We start from the raw sequence: 16484 nt of genomic DNA on the forward strand, positions 1-16484 counted from the left end.
GGTTTATTTTTGCCCCGAGGAATAAATATGATTTTTGACACTAAGCTTCGCCACTAATAATTGGGATATTAACCTAATTCTATTAGGATAGCTTTTCGACTGAGAGGGGGTTAGTGACATTTCATGTGTGAATCATGAGTAATTATGTCATTTATATAAAGACTACCCTCTCACCTCATCTCACCTGCAGCCTAAAGAGCAGATTTCTGACTGGAACACTTCCCACAGCTATGAATCCTAATCCTTGTAACACGAACACTAACTCATGAGTTACACATGTGAAAGCATTGAGTGCTTTCACAGTGGCAGGCACTGTCCTGAGTGCCTTACATCTCATCTCCTCCTAACTAGAAATATTAAGAAAGTAGTCGCTGTGATGATTAATTTCTATTTCACAGATCATAAAATTGTGAAATAGAATTGATACACAGCTAATAAATGTCTGAACTAGATTCTGATGCAGAGACTGAAAGATTCTAGAATGCATGATTTTAACTACTTCACTGGCTTCCATTTGTGTTTTCATTGTCCTGTTGTTTATATCTTAACTAGAAATAACGGTAAAAGTAAACATTGGCTGGGCGCAATGGCTCAGGCATGTAATCCCAGCGTTTTGGGAGGCCGAGGTGGGCAGATCATTTGAGGTTAGGAGCTCGAGACCAGTTTGGCCAACATGGCAAAACCACGTCTCTACTAGAAATACAAAAAAATTAGCTGGGCGTGGTAGCACATGCCTGTAATCTCTGTACTTGTGAAGCTGTGGCAGGAGAATCGCTTGAACCTCCAAGGTGGAGGTTGCAGTGAGATTGCACCACTGCACTCCAGCCTGGGCAACAGAGCGAGACACCGTCTCAAGAAAAAAAAAAAAGTTAACATTTGTTGCACTCTTTTTATGTGCTTCCTCCCAATGTGCCAGGCAGTTTCTCAGTTAATATTTTATCAATATCCCCATTTTCCAGGTGAGGGATCTAAGGTTTTCAGGGGTTAAACAGCTAGAAAGCAGTAGAGCTGGCATTCTAACTGCTTGAATAATACATACTGGGAGTTAAAATTCAAAGGTCATCCAACGTGAGGCAGTATTCCTATCCTCTTGACAGGGGCACTATTATTAGAAATGGAACAATGTTGGAGGTTCAATGGTCGGCAATGCATAAAACCCACATTTTTGCCCTTTCCGTAGGTTAAAGCACTTTATGAAATTTTCCCCCCAGTTTTATGGCTTTAAAGAACATCGGTTAGTTGAGTAACCTTGGCATAGTATTAATGAATAAAGGCATTTTTGCATTATAAATTATATGCAGAAACTTACCCTCTTAGAAACAGGCAGCTTTTATAATGTCCAAATTTTTGTTTTCAAGTGTCCAAATAGACTATGCTCAAATGGGGTATTCCCAGGCCTCAGTCCTCTTCTTTGAGCTCCCCAGAGACATACATTCCAGCAGGCAGGTGTTAACCAGCCCACCCACCCACTGCCACTGCTGATTGGGTCAGAGATGACATCTGACTCAAGGTGGGGCAATCAGGGCTCTCTTTCTGGAATTCTGAATTCACTATCTGGTAGAATAGAAACGAGGAAAATGTAAAGGTTATCATGCAACCATGTCTGTTTGTACAAACAGATGGGAAAAGCCAATCTACAGGGAGATAAGCGGCAGATACATAAAATGAGGTAAAAATAAGAGAATTTGTAGCCCCAGAAGAGAAAACGGCTGTCTAATTTCTAGTTCCAATTCCTTACTCTGCCTAAGATGCATTTCTGGACTTGAAAGACATCTCAGTGTACTTATGATAAAGCCTCCTATCCCGCCTTTCAAAGACTTAATCTAGTTTAAGTGGGTTTGTATTAGTTAACACTAACAGAGCCTTGAGTAGGGCACAATCTAGATGAATTCATAGGCAATTAGTTCTTAAATAAAGCAAGCAGAATTCCCTAAAATTAGCTCAAGAGAAACCAATTTTATTGCTTTGTCTCCTATTTAAGTCCCAAAAGAATTGTCTCAAAATGGGAATACCTTGTTCTTTAATGTTAAAATATAAACAAAGGTCATGGGTTTGAGATCTTCACAACTAGACCCCAAAACAAGGATTTGAGTGCAAGTAATGTAGTTTGGAGGTCAATCTAGGAAGCACCAGTAGGGGAGGGAAGAAATAAGACAAGAAAGATGAGGAAGACAATAAAGGATGTGTTATTGAGCCAGTTTCCTGCAACTGGGAACTTAATTCCTTGGAGAACTCTGAGAATCAGCGTAGACCATGTGTCTCAAAGTCATCCCACCCAAGGCGTGCTGAAGCTAGGGTGTTTATACACTAACTCCCATCAGAGGTTGGTTGAGGGATACTAGGAGGGAGCATGCATTTCCAGCCTGCTGCTTGGTGGTCTGCCATGCTCCCATGGCCAGAGAGATCCCTCAGGGAAAAGAATGCAGGTACAGGAACTGGAAGTCCTGGAGGGATGCAGTGAAGTGGTAAAAGCAAGTGTACACGAGTGAGATGCCCACAGAATCTGCTGCTGGTTCATGTAGAAAAATAATAGTGAGGAAACACTTTGAACTATCTATGCAATAAGAAGTTTATTCTAGTTTACTTATTAGAAATTACTGATTAACTAAAATTGGTAGTTTTCAGTATGTTGTTCCTTGCCAATTCTTTGTTCTCAGAGAGTTCTCTTTCCATTAAAAAATGGGATTGGGCAAGAAATGTGGACTGTGGGGTCTTCTGACTCATTTAAATGAGCTCCAACAAATATATTTTTGACTCACAGCTAGAGCTGGAGGAAACAGTTCCTAGTGTCCCCCTGTGTTCACCTCCTCTTTCAGGTCTCATTGCTGGAAGGAAGGGGATCTGTTGAAAAATATCCCCCCACAGAATGTTGAAGTAATTATTTAAAGGATCTACTGACAGGGCTGCAAATCTTCATGTGCATTGTGCATAAATGGAGTGGTAGAGTGTTCAACAGGCTAATGGTAGGAGTCAGGGGTTGCCCAAAGATTGGCAATTGTTCTAACTACCCCTTTGAAGAAACATGGGAAGCAATCCTTTACTTGGTGCTTACAGAGGCTAAACAAGAAGAGAAGGGGGGTAGGCAGGGCTCTGAAATTATCCTTGAGAAAGGAAGTGGCAGCTGATGTGGATTTTGTGTGCTTCACTAAGCTTAGGTCAGACTCAGTGAGGGCCATCAGTCAATAGGCATTGGACCAACTGGAGGTGATTTATAGAGTAGTTTACTCCTGCATTTCTCTGCTGCTCCAAGTCATAACTCCTCTCAAACTCCATTAAAGTCCTATCCCTTCAGCACCCCTAGCCCTTCCTCTATCCCAACTCCACCACTCCTGGTCTCTGGTGATTCCTTTTGTATATGAACTTATATAGCATCTGACCTAAATGCTCTTCTATATGTAACTTTTCCTACATGTATGCTAATCACTCTACTATTCACGGGTAGTTTGGGGTAGAGATACAAGTAAGCAGTTTTAGCAGCACTCCTAGAAAAAAAACAACAGAAGTAAGCAGAGGTGGAAATATAGAGTAGAGAAAAGAAAAGTGTATTTTTTTCCCCCATATTTTTCACTGTCTGTAGTTTAGTATTCTGCAATATAGCATGGTGGTAAGTCATGGAGCTGAAGTCAGTTTTGATTTTGCATCTCAGCTGCAACAATGATTTGAAGCTTAACCTGTCTAGCCCTCAGCTTCCCCATTTGTAAAATAAAAATCATACACTAGTAGACTAAACTAGATTTGGCATTAAATGCATGGGATATAATATTTAATAGGTTTACATTGCCTTTGTTATTATCATTCTCCTGTGTCCACCTTTGTCTCTTACAGCATTTACCCATTAACCCTCATCGTCATCATGGCAGCTAATGCTTAGAGGCCACAAAATGATCCAGGTATTCATCTAAGTATTTTATAAATATTAACTTGTTTAATCTCCATACTCTTACAGAGAGTGTTTTTATGCCCATTTCACAGATTAGGAAACAGGCATGTTAAGTGATTTGGTCAAGATCATATAGTCAGAAATTGGCTAAGCCAGTGTTTGAACCAGACAGCCAGGCTCCAGATTCTGTGCTTAACCACCATTCAGTGTCACTTCCTCTACAAATAGGCAGGAGGCCAGAATAGACTTTTAAAAGTCCACATACCCCAAATTATCCCTTCTGCATCACACAAGCTGTAAGATATAGACCAGGGTCAGGAAGGAATACCAGAGTCACCATGTTATTGAACATACTTTTCTGCCTACATATCCCAAGGGCTAAGATCCTGTTTCGGATCTTTTTCTATTCATCCCAACAATTTACTCAACCTTGAGGCAAACCTCAGCTGGGAGAAAAATGAAATCAGCTCTTTGGGATGGCAGCATCAATTTTTAACTGCAACTGTCACTGAGTATTAGAGTTGCAAAGCCTTGGGAAATGTTGATCAGGCATGGGTTCCTTGTGTGCCATGGGGCTGTGAAATCAGTCTAAGGTTTCAAAACATAAACCAGTCTTTTATCGTCTTGATTTTTTTTTCTTTCTCCATTCTGAAGGAGCCATCCAATATACATGGCTCCTTGAGCCCAGATATGAAACAGAACTGTTTTCATCATTCTGCACTATAGTCAAGGTCCAGTCAGAAGACAGAAACCTCATTGACTAATTGAATGGGAAAATTTTAAGGTCATTAACTACTAAAAAGGGCAAAAGAGAACTCCAAGGAACTCAGACACAGTAGGAACAAAAAGGCAGCTGCTCCTTCCAGGCTGAGGAGGAGTGGGCAACCAGGAACAAAGGGCCGGGAGCCCCTTTCCCAGGGGCAAGACTCAGCCCTCCTTGCAGAGGGCGTGGTGCTACAGAACATGCAGTCTGCCAAAGAAGAAGAAACTTGCCAGAGAGCACAGACCTGCACTGGCCTGACCTGCATGGTCAGGCTCAGGTGGGTGGAAGTTGCTTGGAAGCAGCTACACAGTTGACAGTGGTCTGTGGACTCCACTGGAGCTGAGCCCTACAGGCCATCAGCTCCTACAATGATTAATAAATAATAGAAGACACAAACTCAGAAGGGAAGAGTCTTCACACTCTATAGCCTTGCAGGGTCATTCCGCTGTCCTCTTTTGACAAAGCCCAAGATTCAGCCAGCTGGCAAAGGGGATGTTTACAGGGTCCCTCGGCAGTATCACAAAGACGGGCAATTTGGAGCTGAGAGACAATAAATTGGTAAGTAGAATATGGGCATATATGAAGCTGTCAGACCATGGATAATATTATCATTACTAGCATACTATTACACTTAATCTTTTTGACAGTATCCCTGTCGATTTCAGTCTCTTTAGAAGTAAGGCATTAGCCCCAGAGTTAGGTAGAATATGTGTGCTAATTTATTCATCTGGCACCATCATTTAAATCGTACAATTGTGTATGTGTGTGAGCGTGTATAAAACTGATGCTCTATGAAGGTGTTCTGTCAATTCTGTGAAACAATGACTTTGTTTCATTCATCATTATATCCCTAATGCTTGGTATAATGCTCTGCACACCAGACACTCCATGAATATTATTGAATGAATTCATGAGTGAATGAACGAAACAGTAAACAGGGCTTGGCTTATCCTGTGGCATATCCTGTACTGTATCACTGAGTAACTCAGGAGGCTACAACTACCCCAGTTTGGAAATCAATGGACAAAGTATTGGCTGATAGTGTAGAGTTAGGAACATGCAGCTTCATATGTCAGGACCTCCTGAATTATCACCATGGCCACCTAATTTTTCTTAGACTGCAAACATCTCTAGCCAAACCTGGAAAAGTGTCTCCTGGTACATGGCTCATGAATACTCTTTCCCCAGCATTTCTCATGGCTGGATGGAACTGAAACATCACAGCTCCAGAAAAGCCTCCCCTGACCACCTTACCTAAAGTGGCCTCTCCATCCTACTCCTCAAGTCATTCTTTATCATGGTGACTCCCAAACTTTGCTGCCCATTAGAGTCACCTGGGGATCTTTTTAAAAGCCCCATTAAAGTAAGCGAGACTACAGCACTAGTATAAGGCTACATACATACGTATATGAAACAGAATTGAGAGTCCAGAAATAAACCGTTACATTTATAATCAATTAATTTTAGACACAGAAGGCAATATAAGTCAAAGGGAAAGGGATATTCTTGTCAACAAATGGTGCTGAGACAAGTGGATATTCACAAGCAAAGTGATCAGTTTAGACCCTTACCTCATACCATACACAAACATTAACTCAAATAGATCACAAACCTAGATGAAAATGTAATACTACAGAATGTTTAGAAGAAAACATAGAAGAAAATGTTTGTCACCTTGGATTAGGCAAAAAGTTTTTAGATATGACACTAAAAGTCAAAGTATAGAAGAAAAAGTCAATAAATTGGACATCATCAAAAGTGAAAGGTTGTACTTCAAAAGATATTTTTAATAAAATGAAAAGAGAAGCCATAAACTGGGAGAAAATATTTCCAAAGTATATATCTTATTAAAGATATCCAGAATGTATGAAGAGCTCTTACAATTCAACAAGACGACAAACAACAAAGTTAAAAATGGGCAAAAGATCTGAATAGACATTTTACCAAATATGATGGATGAATGGCTTATAAGCACATGAAAAGATGCTCGACATCATTAGACATTATGGAAGTGCCAATAAAAAACAACGAGATACCAGTTTACACCCTCAAAGATGGTTACAGTCACAACATCAGACATTGAGTTTTGGTGGAAATGTGGAGAAACCCTTCATACATCACTGATGGGAATGTAAAATAATGCCACTTAAAAAAACAGTTTGGCAGTTTCTTAAAGAGCTACCCATGGAGTTGCCATATGACCCAGAAAACCCACTCTTAAGTCTCTAACCAACACAGATAAAAATACATTCCCATGTAAAGATTTGTATGTGAACAGTCAAAGAAACATTATTTACCAAAAAGTGGAGACAACTCTGATGTCAGCCAACTGGTGAATGGTTAGACAAAATGTAATCTACTTATACCACACAATCAATGAAGGAATAAGGAAGAATGAAGTAATAATACATGTTACAACAAGGATGAACCTCAAAAACATCATGCTAATAAAAAAATCAGGCATGAAGACCACATATTATATAATTTCATTTATATGAAATGTCCAGAAAAGGCAAATCTGTGGAGAAATAAAGTAGATTGGTGGTTGCCTGGGGCTGATGGTGAGAACTGAGATTAATTGCATATGAGTTCAGTAGATGTTTTGAGGATAATGAAAAGTGTTCTAAATCTGGATTGTGGTAATGGTGGCAAAATTACAGACACACTAAAAATTATTTACTTGTACACATAAAATGTATAATAAGATAGATGGATTTACGATATGTAATTTACACCCAATAAAGCAGTTTTAAAAAAATTGCCAATACCCAGGTATATTAGGGTTCTCCAGAGAGAGAGAACCAATAGCGTATATGTATACATAAAAGGGAGTTTATTAGGAACAATTGGCTCCCATGATTACAAGGCGAAGTCCTACAATAGGTGGTCTGCAACCTGGGGAAAGAGAAGCTGATAGTGGCTCAGTCCAAGTCTGAAAGCCTCAAAACCAAGGAAGCCGAGAATGCAGCCCTTAGTCTGCGGGTGAAGGCCTGAAAGCCCTTGGGGTGGACACTGGTGCAAGTCCCAGAGTCCGAAGGCTGAAGAACTTGGAGTCTGATATCGAATGGCAGGGGGAACAGAAGCAAGGATCCAGTACCGGAAAGGAAAAAGAGCCAGAAGACTCAGAAAGCAAGCTTATCCCACATTTTCCTGCCTATTTTGACCTAGGTATGCTGGCAGCCCAAGAGAATGGCACCCACCCACATGCGGTGAGTCTTCCTCTCCCGCTCCACCAATTCTAATGTCAACCTGCTCCAGGAACAACCTCACAGACGCACCCAGAAACAATACTTCACCAGCCATCTAGGCATCCCTCAACCCAGTCAGGTTGACACCTAATGTTAACTATCATGCCAGGATTCTCCCATTCAAATTAGACAAATATTGCTGGAGTAAAGTCAGGCATCAGTCATTTTTAAAGTTCCTCAGGTTCTGTTATGCACAGACCAGGTTGAGAACTACAGCCTATCACCATACTATTCAAAATACGCTCCAAGGACCAGCAGCATCTGTATCCACCTGCGCCCTGATTAGAAATGCAGAATCTCAGGCCCTATCCCAGGCCTACTGAATCAGAATATACATTTAAATAAGATCCTCACATGATCTAGATGCCAATTAAAATTTAAGAATCACTGCTGTATTACTTCGTATTTATCATAATCTTTTTAAATTTTTTTTTTACTTCTTTGCTGTCTACCACTAGGAACACGTGGTACAACTCCACAAAGAATGCAAAGTGAATAGTGCTTCAATCAAAATTCTGAGAAGGCAGGGTCCCTGAACACTACTTCTTCTTTATGCCTAGCAGAATTCCTGTCACAAAGCTGGTACTAAATTACACAATTGTTGAATAAATAAATAATTGTCACCCTCCACTCCATTTCCTTTTTTTAACCGTTAGACTCCTAGGAATAGTCAAGACCTAGATGAAAAGTCTCCTTTGCCAACTCCCAGGGCAGAGTCAGTTCCCATCTCTGTGACCCTGCTGGTCATCAGGACAGCACTAGCAGTATCAGGAATCCTCCTCCCATAGAAAGGGCACCATTAACCAACGGAGTTGTGTTATCCAAAGGGCTGGATCTTTTCTGCACAAATTAATCAGTTAATGCATAGAAAGCATTCAACTAGTGATTGTGTTATAAGAGATCTGCTCAATATTACTGTGTGTCTACCTTATGGGGACACATTGGTAAACAAAAACTGTCATGGACCGTGTCCTATCTGGGACTTATAATTCACTGTGGGAAATGGAGAGTAACCACTCAAAGATGTTGGCCATCTTAGCATGTTATCAAATGCCAGTCTTCTCATTTCTGAGAAGGTCTTTCATCCACCAAGTCTTTGTGTAGTTTTGCTTTTTGTGTGCTTCCTGATAATGCAAGGCATAATCTCAGCATGTAATTTACACAGCCTCCCTACTGCATGGAGACTGACTCTCCCAAGGCAGATGCTGAGAGGAGGATTCTAGTGTAAATCGTTTATTTGGAAGGTCTCAGGAAATACCAAGAGGGGCATAGGCAAGTGAGATAGAAAAGGAACAAAGCAAATTTTAAAAATGTGTTATTAAGTCAGATATTGCCTTAGAAACCTGGAGCTTGACCTCACCGGGGAACTACAGGAAGACTGTGTGGACCACACTTCAGAGAGTGGTCCTGCTTGAGGGCCAGAGAAGCTAGAGGATTTTCTACTACCTTCCCTATCTGTTATTAGCTGAAGGCTGCTTCCAGAACCATCAGCTCTCTAGCACTTTAGATTTGCTAAGAGTGATTCCTTGTTTGGAAGGGGAGTGAGGTGAGGAAGAGAGAATTGCAGGTGTTTAAAATAAACAGCCTTCCACAGGCTGCATGCCAAAGACATATTCTCTGAGAAGTTCAAGGAATATTGGCGGGGGGCAGTGGGGAGGGAAATAACAGACATTCAACCCCGAATGGACAAGGGACAACACTTCTTAATGGCTCAAAGAGGCTAACCTTGGAGAAGTGAGGTATTCAGGTCCAGAAAGTTTCTGGTGAATCACAGAAAAACAACTTTGTTTCCAAGAGGCCAAGTCAGTAGCTGGTAGCATGGAGAAAAAGCAAACTGAATGAAATGGAAATGACATTTCATTTGCCTTGCCATCCATTCTGCTGGCCACCTACAGTCCCTCCGAGGAAACACCCAGTGACCACTGGCTCAGACCTTTGCTCTTAGGCTAATGTTGCAACTTTATGGATATAGCCCCAAATATTATTGGGGGTATGTGCTTGTAGATGTGTAATGTTTAGGGGAGGGACTTTGGGGACCCATTGAAAGTCTAGGACCCAACCCACTGATGTGCAGTTACTAAGCAGAGCTGAAGGATCGAAGTCAGCCAAGCTGTCCACTCATTTCAATGTGGCAATCTTCCCAGTTAAGGTCTATGGTGGCAAATCAAATATTCTATTACATTATTTTTCAATTTCAGGCATTTCCCTGGCTGGACTCTTAAGTGGTATATTTTCCAAAGTTCTGAAACATTGTCCTGCTCACCATCTGCCTTGATGGGCTGACATATTGGACACCGAGTCTGGGACCAAAACATGTGTGACCCAAGGACACCATTTTGTCACAGGCTTATAGTGCCTGAGGAATGATGGAAACATGGAGATCTCAACCCAGCTGAACCAAACACCATGGATCCATACAAATGGCTTCTCTAGCATTGCTGGTATTTATTCAGCATTTATTAGGTGAATGTAGGTTAGCTTTACCTAAAAATTTTTACTGTCTCCTTTTCTCCAATGAGTACTATGACAATTTGGCCTTTCCCAATATAGTTATGCAACATCTGTCAGATATCAAAGGCAGCTACAGGCAGCATTTTAGTGCCAGTTTAACCTGATTAGGTGTGTTGTCAATGATTGGACCTTGAAACCTAAGCAGGTGGCTTGTGTTTTACTCTCTCTGCCTCCCCAGCTCTCCTGTGAATCATTGTCTAAATTTTTGGGACCCATATCTAAGAATAATTCGTATTCTTTAAAGGAAGGGAAGAGGAAGGAGCACAGCTGGAGCCAGAACTCTGCAGCTCTCTTAAGAGCTAGCCTGGATTCGCTGAAAAGGACTTGAGCCAGATATTCCATACCCATTAGCCGGTGTCATGAAAAGTGATTAGCATTTAGTACAACCACAACAACCATTAAAATCAAACAAGCCCTTGATCCTAGCTCCCTGTAAACTCGCTCAATTCCAGCTCTTCTTGACACTGATGTCATTAATTAGTGACACAACTCATTTCCATGAGTTTCCCCACTCCCACTTCCTACAACCCCTTAATTTGATCCTAGGGGAAACCAAAGTAACTGAGAAAGGGGAGGGGCAAAAGGCGGAATGAAGATGTAACCTTAGCTAATAATCTTGGGGCATATGAGATGGAACTCTGAGGATGCTTAGTGCCATCTGGACCTGTGGATTTTGTGATCTAGGTAGGCTCTTTCTGATGGATTGAGTTGAGGGAAGTGCTTGTGAGTTGGCTGCAACCAGGGACCAGTGCCATTTCTACTCTGGTGAACGAGGCATAGTTATTCATCATTGAATCAAGGCATCTTAGAGTGAAAAAGCTGGAAAGCTCATCTGTTCCATTCTTTTTCTCAACACAGGAGCCACTTCTACCACTCTGTCATGCTGGACCCCTATTGATTTCAATACAGATAGCACCATGTTCAAAAAGCTGAAGAAGAGACTCAGAGCCAGTGAAAGAGACAGGGTCTATTGAGGGAACTTACATACAGAGCAGTCGTGTAGAGGCGAGTTGGGAAGGAGCCGCTACTGATTTGTAAAAACATGCAGTTTATATAGATCAGATGTGTCTGCATTCGCAGGGTATGCTTAATTATTGCTTTCAGGTGCGTCTGTCATAAGGGTCATTCTCAGGGTATGCTTAAGTTACGATATTGCTATCAGGTGCATCTGCCACCCACTCCACCCTGCTGCACGCACGGTTGAATTGCCCTCACGTTCTTATCATGCCATTCTTCTATAATTTCCCAAGGGCCAGGTATGGGGAGGAGCATTGCAGCCAGCTGCTGCAGCACCAATACAAACTACAACAGCAAAAAAAGAAAAGAATAATGAATATATCATAAAGCTCTTCTAAAGGCTTGGGAGTTGATCTTAGATGCACTATGGTAGGCCCATGGTGGAGGAGAGGGGCAGCTCTCTGCAGATGCAACAATCTGTTTAGTTCTGGAGAGAGGCCACCATCTGCTTCCATTTGGCAAAGAGGTTTGTTGCCCATCATCTATGGGCAGAAGGTAAGAAAGAGCAAGTTATGGTCATTTAACAAGACACAGGAAGTTATGTTGTTCTGCAAGAGCTCCACCCCTGGTAGTGATCTGGTCCTGTTTACAATGCCAAATGGAATGGCCCCCTCTGTGACACATTGCAGGAGGGCCAAAATCAGACAATGGAGGTATTGTAAGGTTCGATAATGAGAGGATGATTGTCTCCTTGCACAAGGGAGGACCGGGATTTATTATTTGAGAATTTCAGCGGGGAGTAGGTTGTAAAATAGGTATGACCTGTATATCTTGTTCTAGGCCCTCCCTCCATGGAGTGGAAAAACTAAACTATCGGTGGCTGGTTTGCCATGTCCAGGGCCATGTAATGATGTGCTCCCCAGTGGGTAGGTGGTGTGGCAAGGGCAACAGCAGCTTGAGTCCCAGGTTGGGACAAAGGTGTACTGTCCCTGACACTGTCTACCTGGATCCTGATGGTGGTATCAGGTCCCTGCATCAGAAGAGTGTATGCCCTGGGGTGATGAGAATGCATGTGTTCATTCAAGGTGCAAAGGGCTGCTGGTAAGCTGCAAGTCCACAGAACCAGACAGCAAGTTATTGCTTCAACAGTCCATTCATCCACTCAATCAGCTCTGCTGCTGTAGGGTTGCATGGCAGGTGGGAATGCCAGTGGATATCCAGGGTCTCCACCCATTGCTGCATTTCATGACTGGTAAAATGAGAGCCCTGGTCACTGCTGATATCAGTGGAGACACAGTAGACCACATACAGCTGCCCCAGTCCTCATATGGTGGCTTTCTGGGTGGCACAACTAATGGAACATGCCTGCAGTAGCCCTGCACAGGTGACTGTATAAGCCAAGGTATAGAGGCAGCCCTCAGACAGAAGCAAAGGTCCTATGTAGTCACCTGTCACTGTAGTGCTGGGCTTCTGCTCCAGGTGATCTGTTCAGCATCATGCAGCAAGGATCTGGGGTGTTCCTGCACTTCCCATTGCAGTGGCCACATCATGAGTCCCTTAGAGACCACCCAGCCATTGGTTCACAGGACTATCAGGTCCACTAATGGAGAAGAATCATCCAGGTGGCTCGTGGTTCAGCCCATTGGCTACCATGTCCTTTGCCTGTATCAAACCAGATCCTATCAGTGGATGGCCAGATGGCCACAACTGTCCAAGCGCAAGGATTGCCTTGAGACAAGCTGTGTGCCAGGCCTGTACAAAGGAAGGAATCCGTGGAGGGTCAGTAGCCTCCGTCAAAAACTGTCCTTCAGTTGTCACATAGGTGACAGGGCCAAGCACAAAATGGGGCTCTGCTCAAGGGGCTATTAGTTAGTGCACTCCTCTGTGGCAGTCATGCATGCCATTTGGCCAGTCTGTGTCTGGGCATTCCCAGACTTTGGTTCCTGGAAGTTATCTCTTAGCCAACCTGCTAAGGAGTACTGAGCATGTACCATGACCCCCTTTGTAATGTCCTCCACTTGTTGTAACGCATATACAGCACAGAGTTGTTGCCTCCAAAGTGACATTTTTCTAACTCCAGCCCTCTTCCATAGTTGGGACCAGAACCTTAAAGTCACCTGTTTATGTTCTTTCCTTTGCCATAGGCCCCACTCAAATCCCTCAGGGGGACGGGCTACATCCAATTCACAAGGCTGTCCCTGCACTAGAACTCCCAAGGTTTTTATTTGTTTCACTGAGACTTTAGCTTGTTCAAAGGCCTCATCCTGATTTATGGACCAGTCCCATTGGGCCCCCTTCTTGACTAAGCAGTATGGGGGCTGAAGGAGTTGGGCCAAATGGGAACTAAAAGGATGCCCATACCCTAGAAGGCCTAAGAAGGAGGTTTGCAACGGCTTTGGTGTCCTGGGACATGAGTAGGCCTGCACCTTATCCATAACAGCAGCCGGAACAACTTTAGTCTTACCCGACAAGATGACACCCAATTATTTGATTGATAAGCCTGGACCCTGGACTTTGCCTGCATTGACCACCCATCCTCTGTTCACCAAGTGAGACAGCAAGGTGGGGGCTGCAGTTTGTAAACTGGAAAAAGACTCAGAAGTTAATGGAAAACATGTACCCACTCCACGGTGGTGTCCCTGGGGTAAGATGGTAAAGATCCATTGTTCTAATGCTTGATAGCAGAATCAGGATGACTATACTTAGCAACAATATTTTGTATATTTCAAAGTGACTAGAGTTGTGCAACATTTGTCAGGGGTCACCCTGATGGGCCCCTGGGCTGTCTGCTTTCCTTTAGCTCCCTTGCCTTTCGTCCTGACAGCACGCCCTCCTTTGCCTATGCAGTTTCTGCATTTCCCCTAAGTCAGCAGCTCAAGACACTGGCTGTCCTACCAAGGAACTCAGGATACATGCCAGTGTGCCATACCATTGGCTGGGTGCCAACCGTAAGATGATGCCTTTCCTGCTGGCAGTGAAAATCTCATGATCAGTACCTCAGTAATGCTTAACACAGACAGCACGCTTCATCCCTTATTCCCGGAGGATGTCCTGCCATTCCTTCATAGTCTACCATTGCAAAGGAAACGTGAGGATGTCTTCTTCCTTGGCCAGGCTGCTTGGCAGCCGGCAACCACACAGTCAAGGAAGGAATTGGCCCAATCTTCATTATTGGTGCCATAGAGGCACTGCCTCAGGGCCAGGTGGTTTGGGATGGATGCCATTTTACTTATCTCCAGTATTGACAGGATAACACCCTCCATTTCCATGTCCCACAGACGGAGAAGCCATCCCTCAGTCGACTCTCTCCCCTTCTGTCTGAACCTATTTCCCAGTTCCACCCATTCCACAGCAGTGTAGTCCCACACTGTGATGTGCTGCCATCTTTCAGGTGGGAGCAAGTTTTGCAGGTCTGCTCCCTGTGGGGGCAACTGGCCTGCTTTTATCTTTGTAGTGACTACGAGACGGACAGAGAGGACAGAAACCTCTATAGGCTTGTCCCAGTCCTCAGTCTCCTCCATGGGGTCCCAGGACAATCTAGTCATGATAGCCCTAACTCGTTAACATCACTTCTGGCAATCCTTTAGATGAGCTACCTGACAAGCCAGGGTCTCCATTTTGTCACCCTCCATGTGGGATAGTAAGGTCTCTGAGATTTCAGCCTGAACTAATCTGGAACCTCTTTCTAGTCATAGTTCATCCTGTAACTGACACACCCTTGCTTGCGCTACAGGATTAGCTTCAGGGGCTGTCAAATCGCAGTCAGGAGCAGCCAGCCAACCATGGCTGCCACAGCTCCAGCATCTCACTTTTACTCAGATAGATCAACGCCTGCACCAACTCTTCCAGGCCCTTCAGTGTTTTCAGGGCATCCCTGTGCTCACACACTGGATCCTGTCCATCAAGAGTAGTGGCTATCAGGTCCCACACAGGCATGGACAGCCAGCCTGAGATTTCTCCCTCATATTTCCCCCTTTCCCAGTCCCATTGTCTTGGTGCTCATGTAGCTTTCTCTGACCTCCTGGCTGGTGTGCAAATTGTCATGCCAGGCCCCTATTGAAGTCATCTTACAGAGGCCAAAGAAGAGACCCAGAGCCAGTGAAAGAGACTAGGATTTATTGAAGGAACTTACATACAGGTTGGTGCAGTGGCAGTGGGCTGGACAGGAGAACCATTACCATTTGTAAAAAGCATGCAGTTTATACAGATCAGGTGCGTCTGCATTCTCAGGGTATGCTTATGTTATTGCTATCAGGTGCATCTTCCATAAGGGTCACTGTCAGGGTATGCTTAAGTTACATTACTGCTATCAGGTGTGTCTGCCATACATACTCCCATGATACATGGTTGACTGCTGCCTCTGCTTAAACTAAGGTTGGCAAGCTCAGCTATCTTCAGGGGCAAGGAAGGCCAGATCAGTGAGTGAAATGGAGCTCAGTCTAAAACAACAGGGAGTAGTGAGGTCTGATAAGAACCAAAAAGCTAATGCCCCAGCTGTGCAGCTCCAGGCAATTGTTAAAATGCAGGATAAGGGCGGTGTGTAAGTGTGGGGTGTGTGTGTGTTTCTGTGTGTTTGTGTGTGCGAGAGAGAGAGAGCATGCACGAGAGCAAGAGCAGGAGTGCACAAGCAAGCATCTCAATTAAAAATTTTTTAAACATCAACGATTAAGAAAATACTGAATAGGCAAACAGTACCCATGCATATGTAAGTGACAGTCCATAAGCTACCAGCTTGTAGCTCTGGCTTATGCAGATAACAGGGAGCATACCTCACAAACCACATATTGCATGGAACAGCTATTTTTATATATTCATTTCTTTTTAACTGAATGGGTAAATAATACCCAACCATATGGTGTGTCCCATTCTTTCTTATTTAATACACTTTTATTTATCACCTACTATGCTCCAGGTCCCCTCCTCAACCAAGGGATACAAAAAAATCTGTTGGGATAACTTAGGGAATAAGACAAACTTTCTCATGGAAAGTTCATTTTACCTAATGAAGGATAACTCTGCTGTCCTTATACCTAAATCTTCTCTTTCTAGATTAAACAGCTCTGTTGTCTCTAACCCTTCCTAAAGTGGCAGGTTTTCCTTTTCATTTTCAGTTTAATATCCTTCT

At 43.2% G+C, this 16484-nt stretch overlaps 1 non-coding gene across 1 annotated transcript; it reads left to right on the top strand.

Moving 5' to 3' along the window:
* The first annotated feature begins 8727 nt into the window (after nt 1-8727).
* MIR4272 (microRNA 4272) lies at nt 8728-8791 on the top strand. Its single transcript, NR_036234.1, has one exon. It is a non-coding gene; the product is annotated as a microRNA 4272 (primary transcript).
* The last annotated feature ends 7693 nt before the right edge of the window (nt 8792-16484 follow it).

The sequence above is a fragment of the Homo sapiens genome, chromosome 3, assembly GCF_000001405.40.
Source record: "Homo sapiens chromosome 3, GRCh38.p14 Primary Assembly".
Lineage (NCBI taxonomy): Eukaryota > Metazoa > Chordata > Mammalia > Primates > Hominidae > Homo > Homo sapiens.